Source organism: Homo sapiens, chromosome 12 (genome assembly GCF_000001405.40).
Source record: "Homo sapiens chromosome 12, GRCh38.p14 Primary Assembly".
NCBI lineage: Eukaryota > Metazoa > Chordata > Mammalia > Primates > Hominidae > Homo > Homo sapiens.
In genome coordinates, this window is record NC_000012.12 from 107,662,971 (window position 1) to 107,679,284 (window position 16,314).

Sequence of the window (16,314 nt, forward strand, 5' to 3'; positions counted from 1 at the left end):
AATTTTAATGCTACGGAAAACCTCTGGGATGAAGAGCTACAAAGGGAAGAGGCTGATTGGTACAATGGAGGGGCTCTGTGCTGGGCACCACATCTCACCCCTGACCCTGAATCTGTCATCTGCTACCTGGGTGACCTTGGCCAGGCCTCTTCTCCATCTGGACCTGTTTCCTCAACTCCTTCTGACTTGATGTCCTGTGGGCCTAGACTGGAACCTGTCACACTCTCCTTACCACACTCCTATATTAGAACCTTGTGAGAACATCATTTTGTGTAATAGAACATTCCAGATTGCATCCAGGAGGATTTAGCAAAAGGGACCTTTTTCATCATTTCACAATGATGCCTTCAGCAAAACAGGCTCCCAGCAGGAAACCAGATAAAAGCGTTAGAATGAGGCTTCACCTATCTCACCATGAAGATGGCATCTCTCTAGATCATTGCTACATGACTACCATCTCCTTTTTGGTTTGGGGTTTTTTTTTTTCACTTTTTATTTTGAAACAATTACAGATTCGCAGGAAGTTGCAAAGATAGTACAGAGTAACCCAATGGTAACATCTTAGATAAATTTAGTACAATATCCAAACCAGGAAGTTGACATCGCTACAATGTGTGTGTATGGTTCTGTGACATCTTGCCACGTGTGGATTCGTGTAACCACCACCACTGTCACTCTTCCCTCACCGCAAAGATCTCCCTCATGCTACCCCTTTGGAATCACTCTGGCCCTTCCTCCACCAACTTCATCCCAAACCCCTGGCAACCATTAATCTGTTTTCCATCTCTATAGTTTTGTTATTTCAAGAATGTTATGTAAATGAGACCATATAGTAAGCAGCCTTTGGAGATTGGTGTTTTTATTATTATTATTATTATTGACACACGGTTTCATTCTGTCGCGCAGGCTGGAGTGCAGTGGTGTGATTTCAACTCACTGCAACCTCCGCCTCCCAGGCTCAAGAATCCTCCCGACTCAGTCTCCCAAGTAGCTGGAACCACAGACATGAGCCACCATGCCCAGCTAATTTTTATTTATTTATTTATTTATTTTTGTAGAGATAGGGATTTTACCATGTTGCCCAGGCTGGTGTCAAACTCCTGGGCTCAAGCAATCCTCCCACCTCAGTATCCTGAGTAGCGGGACAACAGGCATGCACCACCACTACCAGATCACTTTTTAAAAAAATTTTCTGTAGAGACAGGGTCTCGCTATGTTGCCAGGACTGGTCTCAAACTCCCGAGCTCAAGCAATCTGTCTGCCTCAGCCTCCCAAAATGCTGGGATTACGGGTGTTAGCACCTCAAACGGCGAGACTGGCTTTTTGCACCCAGCAGAATGCCTCAGAGACCCATCCAAGGAGCCTGCACGTATGGAATGCTTGTTCCTTTTCATTGATGAGTAGCATTCCCCGGTATCCTGTCACCTTTTAACCAGAGAGAGACAGGGGCTTTCTCTGTCACCCAGGCTGGATTACAGTGGCGTGGTCACGGCTCACTGCAGCCTCAACCTCCCCAGGCTCAAGCTATCCTCCAACCTCAGCCTCCAGAGTAGCCACAGGTGGAAGCCTCCACGCCTGGCTAATTTTTTTATTTTTTGTAGAGATTAGGTCATACTATGTTGTCCAGGCTGCTCCCAAACTAGGTCTTTCTGTAATTGATGACTTCTAGACATCTCACTGATGGTGTAGGGCAGTGCTTCTCGAATTTGTTAAAATGACTCCATGGGGCTGGGGTGGGGCTTGAAATTCATTGTTTCTAACAAGCATCCCAGCGCTGCTGCTGCTGCTGCTGGTCCAGGGACCTCACTTTGAGTAGCAAAGGTGTGCAGTCTGGAAGTCAGAGATTCATCTCAAACCCTTTCTGCTGCCAGGCCAACCTGTGACACTTGTTCTGTCACCTGGCCTTTCTGGAGTCTCAACCTTGAGGGTTATTACGAGCCTTTCTTTCTGACCCAGGGGAGACGTTTTCACAATGCATCTGAAAAAAAATCATTTGAAATTCTATCTTCCAAAACCAAACACCGCATGTTCTCACTCATAAGTGAGAGATGAACAATGAGAACACATGGACACAGCAAAGGGAACATCACACACCAGGGCCTGTCGGGGGGTGGGAGCAAGGGGAGGGAAAGCATTAGGACAAATATCTAATGCATTCGGGGCTTAAAACCTAGATGACAGGTTGATGGGTGCAGCAAATCACAGGAAGGAGAACATCAGACACTGGGGCCTGTCGTGGGGTGGGGGGAGGGGGGAGGGATAGCATTAGGAGATATACCTAATGTAAATGACAAGTTAATGGGTGCAGCACACCAACATGGCACATGTGTACCTATGTAACGAACCTGCATGTTCTGCACGTGTACCCTAGAACTTAAAGTATAATTTTAAAAATAAATAAATGTAATCCTGTCTTCCTAGGTGGAGGGCTCTAACAGTCTGAATTAAGCTAAGGAATTACTCACACATAACCTCACTCTACCTTACTTTTCCCTGGTCTGTTGTTTATCTAAATCAAGTTTATTTATTTCACGGGTATTTACTGATGCCCTAATATAAATGAGAGACCCACTCCTGTGCAATGGCATTAACCAAAGGTAACCAAAGGTGACCTCATCCCTTTTCTTTGTCCTGTTTCCTTCAGGGTTGGCGGCAGAAGGAAAAGAAAAGATTCCTGTTTATTTTCAGACTATGCTTCGAGGCTTCTCTCTGCACTCACAGAGCCCCCTGGGGTGGCAGGGACACCCAGGAGAATCAACAAGGGAATAATCAAAGCTGCTGCCCCTTCCCTGTTCACTTCACAACACTTTGATAATGGAGAGGGACGCTGGAGTATCTGGTTCAAAATGGCTGCTGGGTGACCCTGATACTTCTCAGTTGTATGCTATGGGGAATGAGTGGGTGGGGAAGAAGAAAAAGTGGTAGGATTTTAATCCATAATTACTCATTATTTTGTTTACTTGTGAAGGGAACGACTGCATTTTTGGCACTTCAAAGGACTTGCTTTCATACATTAAATATTTTGTTTGAGGAAGGGAAAAGCTCAGATAGTGTTTTCTGTTGAATAAGTAATGAGAAAGTAAATGAAGTCTGTTTTTTCTAGAAATTCCTTGAGCCAAGGAATGATTCCTTGCCCCTAAAATGTGAGGATTTCAGGTGACCAGTGAGTTTAATGTAAGTCAGCTGCATAATGTGGCTGCTTAGAAGCCCATAATGTAGCTGTGGGCTACATTAATAGAAGCATGATTGCTAGAATGATGGAGGTGATGGTGCTCCTCTGTGCACTGGAGGGCTCTCTGCTGGAATTATGCACTCAGGTCATGTCCTGTATGAGTCAAGGTTTCTAGCAGCAAGCAACTCTGGTTCATTTAAGAAGAAAGAGGGTTTATTCGAAACTATTAGAGGATTACACAGTTGTTGGGAAGGCTGGAGAAACTATTAAAGGCAGAGCCTTTTGGAATAACTTACAAACCACGACAGAGTGACAGAGTGAGACTCAAAAAGAAAAAAAAAGAACAGCCAAAGGAACTGGGATGTTTGGCCTGTAGGAGGGAAGACTTGGGTGACCATCTTAATTTTAGTTGTCTTCATTGCTGCCACTGCTTCCACCAAATGATATGGAGGCAGAAATCACTAACGGCATTTCTGTAGCTCCCAGAAACTTGGCTTCAGTGACTGCTCTTTCCACAAGCACCAGTGTCATTCCTACATCAGGAACTCAGCCGACCCGAAAAAGCTCAGTGCTTCTGCCTCTACTTGCACTACATAATGGAAGCTCCCATCTCCTCATGTTGGCCCTTTAGTATCAAAATTTCACTGGGTACATCCACATCTGACAGGCAGAACCTAGGTCCCATGCCTGCACCTTAGCTGTAGGGAGGCTGGCAGTTTCAGTTCTTGCCACTACATTAGGGAGATAGGAAATCTACTGTGTGATTTCTACAAATATAGAAAGATGGTGGGTAGCCATGAACATGACAAATGGCCCCTGTGCTTGACGAAAGTCACAGAGAAAATGCAGCCTCATCAGAAGGGAGTAACCAAAGGTGAAAGAACAGCCAAAGGGGCCAGACGTGGTGGCTCATGCCTGTAATCCCAGCACTTTGGGAGGCCGAGGTGGGTGGATCACTTGAGGTCAGGAGTTTGAGACCAGCTTGGCTAACATGATGAAACCCCATTTCTACTAATACAAAAAAACAAAATACTAATACAAAAACTAGCCAGGTGTGGTGGTGGGCACCTGGAATCCCAGCTACTCAGGAGGCTGAGGCATGAGAATCATTTGAACCCAGGAGGCGGAGGTTGCAGTGAGCTGAGATCATGCCGCTGCACTCCAGCCTGAGTGACAGAACGAGACTCAAAAAGAAAAAAAAAAAGAACAGCCAAAGGAACTGGGATGTTTGGCCTGTAGGAGAGAATACTTAGGTGACCATCTTAATTTTAGTTGTCTTCAAATAGCAGAACAGGCTTCATAGATAAGAGGAATCGGGCTGAGTGTGGTGGCTCCTGCCTGTAATACCAACATTTTGGGAGGCTGAGGCAGGAAGTTTGCTTGTTTCTAGGAGTTCAAGACTGGCCTGGACAACACAGTATGACCCCATCTCTGCAGAAAATTTTAAAAACATTAGCCAGGTGCAGCGGTTCATGCCTGTAGTCCCAGCTACTCTGGAGGCTGAAGTGGGAGGATCACTTGAGCCTGGGAGGTAGAGGCTGCAGTCAGCAGCGATCATGCCACTGCACCCCAGCCTGGGCAATAGAGCAAGACCCCCATCGAAAAGAAAGAAAAGAAAAGAAAGGAACTAGCTTGTTCAGTATCATAAAAAGGATAAGAGCTGTCCCAGCGACAGACCCTTCAAGGATTTAGATTTCACCTAAGTATAAATAAGAACTCTTAACAGTCAGAGCAAAGCTTTTCAAAGATGGAATGAGGAGGTAGTAGTGAGTTCTCCATGACAGGAGCCATTCCAGAAAATGCTAGCCAACCCCTCGATAGAGATTCAAGCAATAAAGGGAGTGTAGAATTTAAAGGTTCCTGACAACTCAGGGGTGTTGTCGTTACTAGTTCTCTCCTTCTGATACACATCATCTGGCCTCAGAAAATGAATATCAATCTTGATATAGCTTACGTAGAATTTGTAATGACCTCCCAGCCTTCATTTTTTGGCCACTGCTGCATTTTATTTCAGCACGCCACCCTATTTATCTTCATCAGGTTGTGAGGCAGCGGATCAATTCATTATTCTTACTTATCTAATACAGAAGGAAGAAAAATTGTCCACAAAACCTTACCAGCTGGGAAGGGAAAAAGTAGCTAGAAGCAATTCGGTCACTGAAAAATAGAACTTCTTTTTATAAAGAAAAAAATGCATTTCAGCAAAACGATCAAGTTAGGGAAGGGCCATTTTTGAGAGTGGGATGAAATCCAGGTATGTGAATTTGCACACGTCCACCACATCTCATATGCATTTTTTAAACTGGACTCAACAAAGAAAAACCATGAGTCATGCATTGGTTTGGCATAAGTGGCTGGTGAGTGAGGTCTCCTGTCCGCCTCAGTCTTCCCTCCTGCAGAATGGGAATGTCATTACATTAACATGACAGGTGATGGAGAGGCACTCTTGCAGCAATGGTGGTAAGGGACAGCTCTGTCAAAATGCAGGGAGAAGCAAGAGGGAAGAGAGGGATTTTCTGTGCCCTGGACATGGCCACCTCCGATTTTATCATGGGTTGGTTAATTTCACCTCCCCAGCAGCCTCAGGTCCCCAAAGGCCAGCAGTGGCTCTGTAAGCCATCAGCCTGAGGCAGTCTACTGGCTGCACTCTTAGTCTACTCTGGAGTATGAGGATTCATCCACCAGGCTCCAGTTTGATTCACGGCACTCTCTTGACAGCCTCATTCCCCAGAGTCCCCGAGGACCCCAGCATTTTGTTCATCTCCTGCTCTGAGCTCTTCGGGAGGGAATGTGACTATGTGACTGTCAGCCAGTTGTCACATTTCATCCCAGAGGCAGTGGAAATGATGCCTGAATGCCATGCCTCTGTGTGCTGCATCGGAGATGCCTCTATGTGACTGAAACATCATGGACGATTTTCAGTACATGGGAGGCTGTTCTTTTCCATTCCTTTATATTTTGTGCTCATCTTTATATGCCTTTATCTTCCTTCTCATAATAAATCCTATATGGTAAGAATTTTGATTCCCATTTTTACAGATAGGGAAACTGAGGTGGAGGCAACAAGGCTAAAAAGTGGCAGAGAGGGAATGTGGACCTAGGCTGACCTGACCTCTAAGCCCAACTCTTTGTGGTGCCTCTTCAGTTACAATGCCTCCTCTAAAGAGAGAGGGGAGAGAATAAGATGCTTCTCTCCTCTCCACTGCTTTGAAAAATATGATCAAGCCAGGCACAGTGCTCATATCTGTAATCTCAGCACTTTGGGAAGCCGAGGCAGGCGGATTGCTTGAGCCCAGGAGTTTGAGACCAACCTGGGCAACAAAGTGACACCCCGTCTCTACCAAAAAAAAAAAAAATTGGCCGGGCATCATCGTGGGTGCCTATAGACCCAGCTACTCAGGAGGCTTGAGCCCAGGAGGTGGAGGTTGCAGTGAGCCAAGATCATGCCAGGGTGAGTGACAGAATGAGACCCTGTCTCAAAAAATAATAATAATAATAAATATGATCAGCTGGGTGTGGGGGCATATGCCTGTAGTCTGAGATATTGGGAGGCTGAAGCAAGAGATTCACTTCAGCCCAGGAGTTCGAGGCCAGCCTGGGCAACATAGTGAGACCCTGTCTCTAAGACAAAAAAAAAAAAAGAGAGAAGGAGGAAGAAAGAGCTTTCTGGGCTAAGACAAATGTTAGTCATGTGTATCTGTGATGTGGTGTGATGACAGGTCTACTTGTTCTGGATGTCTTTTTTTTGGTGAGTATTGTTTGGGGGAGAAAGAAGTATTGGGTGGCGTGAGGATTCAATGTAGATGGACCAATGTTTAATGGGACTGAGGACACAGAGAGGACACAGAGCGGACACAGAGATGTGGGAGACAGGGTCCCTCAAGGTGCTCCTTGACACACAGACACAGCTTGGGGGACTTAGTTGCTGCCAAGCCAACTCTTGGCGTGACATGAGGTGGCAGGAGTGGGGACGGACGGCCACTGAGGACCCACCACCCCAGGACAGCCGGGCGCCTCTGGCAGGCAGGTCCACGGTTACTGATTGTCATGGTCAAGCTCAGCTGGGCACTGGGTCCAGAAGGAGATGTGACTGGCCCATTTTGTGTCTTTTATCTGAGCCTGCACCTTTCCTAACTCAGATTTTTTAAATACTTTTTTCTTTATACTCACTTTGTTTTTCTCTGTACTAATACACTAACTCGGATTTTTGGCTTTTATTGGGCCGAGGTCCCACCAACCTGGATGCTCAGCCTTGTTTGGTAAAGCAAGAAAAGTATCTGAGAAATGTTCCCTAAAGGCTGATTTCACCCCAAACAGTCACTCAGTGATGCGCCTCACTTACCAAGGACACACCCCCAAAAGGCATCTCCTGGCCTCCGGGTCTCACTCTGTTATCGCAGGGTGTGGTGGAGCAGGTGTGGTTGGGTGGCCACCAAGATGGATTTCAGTCTCTTTCCAGGCCCAGGGAACAAGCCGAATTCGAGAGACTTGGCTTTTAGCCTCCTGTTAGAGCCAAGAAAGACTTCAAAGACTCAACGGCTTCTAAGGCTTTTTACATCAGCAAAGTCCTGCAAAGCCTGCAAACGAAGGCTGCTTTGAGGCCTTTCATTCTAAGGACAGAGAAGGTAAATTCCATGGCCACTTTCTCCAGAGCAGCAACTGGGCTCCTTCTTTTTACTTCCATGGGGAGGACAAGAGATTCATTTGCTTTCTGTTGCTGAGAATGCTATCAAAACAAATTTTACTTTTAGCTGCAACCTTTCAAAAGCGTCTTAAGCATAAAGCACGAAAAAATCCCCAAGCTTATGTAGGCATTCTAGTTTTTTCGTGGTTGGTGTTTTTTTTTAACTGTGCCAGTTTCAGCTGAAACATGGTTCTATTGTTTCCATTTCCCACTGTACATACAGCACTGAATTCTTGGGGAGCAAAAGTACGAGGGCAGATTGAGAAACCCCAGTTCATGAGAAGTTTGTTGTTGTGGTGGTTGTTGTTTTAGCAAAGAGAGGAAATCGGTAAATAGCTCTGATGTTGAGACAGCAGGAGGTCAGGACATTGAGCAACGTGCAGGTGGGGTTGTGGACTCAGGGCTGAGCGGCAGGGGGCGCTCCTCCCAGTGCAAGCCTTCAGAAACACCAGCCTTGAGTTGGACGGTTCTGGCTCATTGTGTGGAGTCCTAAGTGGTCACACTCCACACTCCTAAGTGGTCTGGTCACACAGTTGTTTTAAAGAAGGGTAATGGCTCATTAGGTAGATTTGGGTAGGATGCAGCTTGAAGTGGGGCGTAAAATCCTTTCATTGTCCAATGGGGAGGTCACAGTGCAGCAGCTACTCCTTGTACTTGGAATGAGGGAAACAGCGTAATCTAGACTTGAACACGGGCTCAGGAACCAGGAGCGCCAGCCACAGATCTCACTCACTCTCACTGTTGTTTGCAACTTTGGGCAAGTCAAGTAACTTCTCTGCTGGATCACTGCTTCTCCAACTGTGTGAGCATTTGTAGCTTTTTCCCAAATAAGTACTCTACTTCCTGGCTTTCCAAAGTGGAGCCGGACAGTCGCTTCTGCATCATTGGGAGTTTGTTGGCAATGCAGAATGTCAGCCTCGATTCCAGACCTACTACATGGAATCTGCATTTTAACCAGAGGCCCAGTGCTGAGCACACTGAGGTCTGAGAAGGACTGCTCTGTTCTCCCAGGTCACTGCAATGGTATCAGGTTCTTCTGTTCCTCTCTCTCAGAGGATACTTGAAATGATGCCTGAAAAAAAAGACAATCTAGGCCAGGCATGGTGCCTCATGCTTGTAATCCTAGCCCTTTGGGAGGCCAAGGCGGGAGCATCACTTCAACCCAGGAGTTTGGGACAAGCCTGGATAACATAGTAAGACCCCATCTCTACAAAAGAATAAAAAATTAGCTGGGTGTGGTGGTGCACACCTGTAGTCCCAGCTACTTGGGAAGCTGAAGTGGGAGAAGTGGGGAGGATTGCTTGAGCCTGAGAGGTCGAGGCTGCAGTGAGCCATGATCGTACCACTGCACTCCAGCCTGGATGACACAGCGAGACTCTCAAAAAAAAAAAAAAAAAAAAGATCATCTATATATATGGTCAGGACTCAGGTAAGATCCTTAAGATGTCTTTGTATTCATCTGTAATAAGTCATTTTAAGAACTCCATGTTCTCTGAGGCATTTTCTGAAAGTCATTTGTGCACCCATCTATTGCCAATGATTTCTCCTCTCACTAGAGGTGTGAGATGTTTTTCAAACCCGCTATGAATTTCTGTTAAATTACCTTACCCATTAGATGTTTTTTCACCCTGCTGTCTCTCACCAGGGGAACGCTGTGAAAAAGCTTTAGAACACTGTGCAAGCAATCATCCTTTCCAGCCACCTGTTTCTGCTGACAACTTTATGAATAGCTTCTTTACCAATCATTAGACAAAAACCATTCCATTCTGGAGAATGATGACACAGAAGGTTAAGGGCTTTTTCTAAAAGCACATACACATGTGTGAGGTTTGCCAAAACCAGCTTGTGCCCAAAGTAGGACAGATGGGCCACTAAGGGGAAAGAGCAGAGAAAGGGATTCAAGAGAAGGAAGTTTTTGTAAGGCTTGTGCTATAGACTGAGTGACTGTATTCCCCCAAAATTCATAATCATCAATGTGATGGTATTAAGAGACAGGGTGTTTGGGAGATGCGTAGTCATGACAGGGTAGCCCACATGAATGAGATTAGTGCCCCTATAAAAGAGACACCAGAGAGCTCCCTCACCCCTTCTGCCATGTAAGGACACAGTGAGAAGACAGCAGTCTATGAACCAGGAAGCAGGCTCTCACCAGATACTTCATCTGCTGGTGCCTTGATGTTGGACTTCCCAGCTCCAGAACCATGACAAATAAATTGTTGTTTAAGCCACCCAGTCTATGGCATTTTTGTGAGAGCAGCCCAGATGCATTAAGACAGCTTAAAGGGGGCCTTCTGAATGGTACATCTAGGGGGCAAAAGTCACAATTTGAAATGTCTTCCTTAGAAATGTCCTCTGAGAATATAAAAGTAATAATAAGAAATCGATTTTTACAGAATGCCCCAAACTCCTAAGATTTCAGCCTTTAGGTTATGTCCCTGTCATCATATTAATGAAACATGACTTTTTCAGTAGTACAAAGAAGTGTTTCTTTTCACCCAAAGGAGACCGTGGTCCTGTCTACAACATGGCATGAAGGAGGACTGATCAATTATCCAGATAATACAAGGCCAACCTCTCCCCGCCAACACCACTACCACTATACACAACATCATCACGGCCTTCGCTAAAGTATCAGACCAGGGGAGACTAATCACATTACTTGGACAAAGTTTAGCAAACTACCTGCCTCATGAATCCTTCTATTTATTCTGTGGCAGTGGTTCTCTACTGGGGAAGATTTGGCAATGTCTAGAGACGTGTTTGGTTGTCACAGCTGGCAATGGGTTGCTACTATTGGGCAGAGGCAAGGGATGCTGCTGGACATCCTACACTGTGTGGGACAGTCTCTACAACCCAGAATTCTCCAGTCCCAATGTCAGTAGTGCTGAGGTTAAGAAGCTCTGTTCTGGGAGATGGGGTTGAGCCTCCATTCACTGCAAAGCAAAGGAACATTCACAGCAATATTGAAGGAATAGGGGCCAGCACTTCCTCCATGGTTTCTCCAACCACAGGAAAAGCAACATGAACAGCTTCTGGGATGAGCTAGATTGAGCCAAGTCCAATCCCATTCGGCTGTGTCATCACGGGGCAACTTATGATACCAGAGCTCAGGTATTGACAGTTCGGCCCTTCAGAGGGATTTCTGGGGTTTTTAGCTTCTTCCAATCCTGGTACTTTGGCCTAGATTAGGGCTTCTGGGAGGTCAAGAGAAATCCAGGTCACATCCATTTTGGAGGCTCCAATTATAAGGGCAAAAAGAGGTCGGGTGTGGTGGTTCACACCTGTAACCCCAGCACTCTGGGAGGCCGAGGCAGGAGGATTACTTGAGGTCAGGAGCTTGACACCGGCCTGGCCAACATGGTGAAATCCGAATCTACTAAAAAAAAAGTACAAAAGTACAAAAAGAGGCCAAAATAAGATTATAAAAATTTCTATTTATTTTAAATATTTGCACATAAGATATATAAATATTTGCATATAAGAAATTATCCCTTTTACCCCCCCCCCCAGCAATGGAATGCAATGTACTTGTACCATTCACAATATAATTGCAATATTTATACAATTTATGTATTAATTCACAGTGCCCTAGAGACAGGATTGCCTTACAGTAGGGTACAACCTGAAGGAAGCTTTCTTTTCCTTGGTCCTGTCAGTGTGTCTCTGTAACTATAAATATACTTACTTAGAAATAATATTAAAGATCAAAATTTACAGCTTTTTGAGGCTATATCATAAGGAGCAACAAAAGTTCAGAGGCAGGAAATAATAGTTAAAGCATACAAGTACTTACATGTTTATATACATATACGTATAACTATGTATAGTTAAAACATAAAAACTGGATATGTTGGGTAGCATTCTAAGTGATGTGTGCGTGTGTTCAAACTTTTATTATTATTATTATTATTATTTTGAGATGGAGTCTCGCTCTGTCACCCAGTCTGGAGTGCAGTGGTGCAATCTCAGCTCACTGCAACCTCAGCCTCCTGGGTTCAAGCGATTCTCCTGCTTCAGCCTCCTGAGTAGCTGGAATTACAGATGCCTGCCATCCCGCCCGGCTAATTTTTATATTTTTAGTAGAGACGGGGTTTCACCATGTTGGCCAGGCTGGTCTCATACTCCCAACCTCAGGCGATCCACCTGCCTCGGCCTCCCAGAGTGCTGGGATTACAGGTGTGTGCCATGTGTAAACTTTTATAGCAACATTTTGTTGTCATCTTCCTATTTTACAGATGGGGAAACCAAAACGGAGAGTGATTGAGTGACTTGCGCAAGGTCACACACCTCAGGAGTAGGTATGTAAGTAGAATAAGGATTCAAACTGAGAAAGTTCTGCTCCAGAGGCCACCACCCTTACCATTTTCATATGTAGCCTCTCATAAGGAGAGGGGCAGACTCAAGTAGATGTGCAGAATCATAGAAAGGCTTCAGAAAGTCTATAAAGAGTGGTTCAGGCATTGGAGTCAAGCAGATCCAAGTTCAATTCCAGGCTTTGACCCTTATTAGCTGTGAAGCCTTGGGCTCCCTACTTTAACCTAAAGCCTAATGGTCCCCACCAGTCAAGCGAGGCTATGTTGGAATCTGAGAACTAGCCCTGAGGACACAAGGAAAGGGCTCAGTCATCACAGCTGTGTCTGATCTCAGCCTCCGCCTTCTTAGATAATAAAAGTGAGGCTCAGAGACAGAAAGTGGGCTGCCCAGGGCCACACAGCAAACTATTGACAGTCCTCAGCACACCTGGTCCAATGTCCTGTGCATAGCATTGGCAGCTCTAAGCCAACTCATCTAGTCGACTCTGCCCCCTACAGCTTCTTGCCCATTTCAGGGCTCCAGATAGGCTTCTGCCCACCTGCAGGGCCACGCTGCCATACTTGGTGGTCTGTGGCAAAGTGGGTAAAGCAGGAACAACTGGAGAAGACACAGAACAAAACATGTGGGAAAAAAATGTTCAAGGTCCAGGCATAGGCTAGGTGTGGTGGCTCATGCCTGTAATCCCAGCACTTTGGAAGGCAGAGGCAGGAGATTCTTGAGCTCAGGAGTTCAAGATTAGCCTGGGCAACATGTTGGAAACCCGTCTCTACAAAATATACAAAAATTAGTCAGGTATGTTGGTGTGCACCTGTAGGCTCAGCTACTCGGGAGGCTGAGGTGGGAGGAGCTCTTGAGCCCAGGAGGAAAGGGTTGCAGTGAGTGCGGATCACACGACTGCACTCCAGCCTGGACGACAGAGCCAGACCCTGTTTTAAAAAAAAAAAAAAAAAAAAAAAAAGGGTCAGGTGCGGTGGCTCAAGCCTGTCATCCCAGCACTTTGGGAGGCCAAGGCAGGCAGATCACCTGAAGTCAGGAGTTCAAGACCAGCCTCACCAACATGGAGAAACCCCGTCTCTACTAAAAATACAAAATTAGCCGGGTGTGGTGGCGCATGCCTGTAATCCTAGCTACTCGGGAGGCTGAGGCAGGAGAATCGCTTGAACCCGGGAGGCAGAGGTTGCAGTGAGCTGAGATCCTGCCATTGCACTCCAGCCTGGGCAACAAGAGCTAAACTACTCTCAAAAAAAAAAAAAAAAAAAAAATTCCAGGCATAATCCTGGAGTGTCCACTAGGTGGAGCCACACTTCTGCATTCTTGGGTTCCCAAGAATTTAATTTTTTTTTCTATTGAAGAGCATGAATCTGGCTCATACGTGAGGGATTGAGAAGTTTCACTCAACCATTCATTCATTCAATATTTACTCAGCACCCACTCTGTATACCAGGCATGGGAATTCAACACTAAACGCAGTACTTAGGAGCTGTAATTATCATCCGGCAACAAATTCTTTGCTTCTGTGATGAATCTCACAGCCATGCAACAAGTACACCATCCCATCCTTAACAAGGTCTGAGAAGTCATCTTCCATTTATTCTTCCAGTATTTATTTGGCGTGTACTCTCTCCCAGGCCCTGGGCATGCTAAGATGGAAAAGACCATCTAGTGGAGAAGACAAACATATGACCGGTGTCCACTCAGCCTGACCCTACATGGTGACTGACGCCTGCCAAAGCCTGGCTCGAGGGGCGCAGTAACCATGCTCAGATCCTCCTTTCTCCTCTGGCATCACAAATGGGGAGATCAAAACCTTTGCCCAGCCCATCCTTCCTCTGCTTCTCATGAACAGTCTGGTCCATTTCCCTGTCCTCTCAGAATCATGCTGCTGATAAAGACATACCCGAGACTGGGCAATTTATAAAGAAAAATAGGTTTAGTGGACTCACAGTTCCACGTGGCTGGGGAGGCCTCACAATCACGGCGGAAGGTGAAAGGCACGTCTAACAGAGCAGCAGGCAAGAGCAAAAATGAGAATGAAGAGAAAGGGGTTTCTCCTTATAAAATCATCAAATCTCATGAGACTTATTCACTATGATGAGAACAGTATGGGGGAAACCACCCCCATTATTCAATTATCTCAATTATCTCCCGCCAGGTTCCTCCCACAGCACATGGGAATCATGGGAGCTACAATTCAAGGTGAGATTTGGGTGGGGACACAGCCACATCATATCAGGTGGGGTTTCCGATGGCAAGGATGTGATTAATTTCATTATATCCAGGGCTTTGGTGGAGCCTTTCACTTTTCCCTGGGCACGCATTTCTGTCTTTCCTTCCAAAAGAGGTGGCGTGGGTGTGGAAGGAACCACACAGGACTGAAGACGGAAAACACAGGCTCTGTCCCCCATCTTGACGCTTAGATGATGTGTGGTCTTAGATCAGTCACCTCCTTCTTCTCGTTAGTCTCCTCAGCTGTGGTAGATTAAATGTGGCCACAAATTCTTGACAGATCTTCCCATCAGGAGATGGCATCTTTCTCCACTTCCCTTGATTCCGCCAGGCAACACTCTTGTCCAAGTCACCGGCATCTGCCCCTTCATTACTGCAATAACCTCCTCATAGTTCTCCCCACATTCGCTCTGCCCACCCCACCATCCCCACCCCCACATTCCACACACGGGAGTTGGAATGACCTGAAATCTAAGTCAGATGATGTCATTCATCATCCTACGCCCCTACCCACCGCCCTGTGCCTCCCTAACCAACCACCCACAGCAAGACTGCATCTTCTGGCTCCCTGTCACCCCTCTTCCCTGTCTCCTCATTCATACTGCTATAGCCTCACCTCTGGGATTGTGACCCTGGAACCACATAGCTGGTCATCTGGAGACAGACTGGAGCAGAAAACCAAGGTAGAACTTGAGTTGGAAAGCTTATAGGGTTGAAGTTTCACTTTAACGCTGAGGTGTTACACAGAAGCTAGAGGGGGCAGAAAACTACCCAAGTCTGTGGAAAGGAGTTTTTCTGACAGGTGGTGATAGTGGTGGCATCAAGGAGGAGGGGACTGAGGGAATGCAGTTGCTGGTAAAGGGTAGATGGTCAGAATCCTCAGCTGTCACCCAGCAACTTGACGGTGAATAGGATGAAGCAGTCACCAATCAGGCTGTCACAACCACATTTGCTTGCATGTCTTATTTAATTTTCCCTTGACCATAAACCTCTGATCCTATATTAGAATACAGAGCCCTCAGAGGGAAGGGCTGTGTCATGTTCATTTTTGTAGCTCCCTGTCTCCCAAACTGTCCTGCATAAAGATGGCAAAGAAAACAATTGTTGCATGTCATGGGTGACAGTTCTTGCCTCCTCACAGCAGCACCCCAAGTTTCCTCCAGAGAATTCTTGCTGCCAACTCTGTGTTCCCTGTACAGCTAATTCTCTCTCTGGCTCCAGGGCTGGGCATGAGGCTCAGGCTTTGCTGAGCAGAGCATCACCTTCTCCTGACCACAGTGACTGGTGATCATTCCAGAACTGAAGAGGCAAATGAGAGAGAAGTAGAGAGAAATGCAAGTGCTTTTTCTGCCGAGGTTGCAAGTAGTAAAGATGCATCAAGCCTGAAGCTCCTGATGGCTTAATGTTAAGTGAACAGATTGTAAGACAGAAACTAAATATAGAAGAGAGGTCCAATCCTGATGACAGTGGTTTCAGCCCCTAGATCCAGCTATGTCTGAAGCTATTTATGTCAGTAGGTTCTTGAGCTACTAAGCATATACATTCTCTTTCTTGCCCAAGGCAAATGGAGTCGGTTAGCTGTCAATTGCATTCAATAGAGTCCTGACAGACCAACGAATGAATGAATGAATTGATGAACAACTCTACCAGAAAACTTGTGTCACATGACAGACAGGATCCTATCTCAGGAGTCGGGTTAGTATATTGCCATTGCTAACTCTATGACGCTGGGCAAGTTTCCTGATTTTTTTTTTTTTTTTTTTGAGACAGAGTCTTGCTCTGTCACCCAGGCTGGAGTGCAGTGGCACAATCGATCTCTGCTCACTGCAACCTCCGCCTTCCAGGTTCAAGTGATTCTCCTGCCTCAGCTTCCCAAGTAGCTGGGACTACAAGTGCATACCACCACACACAGTTAATT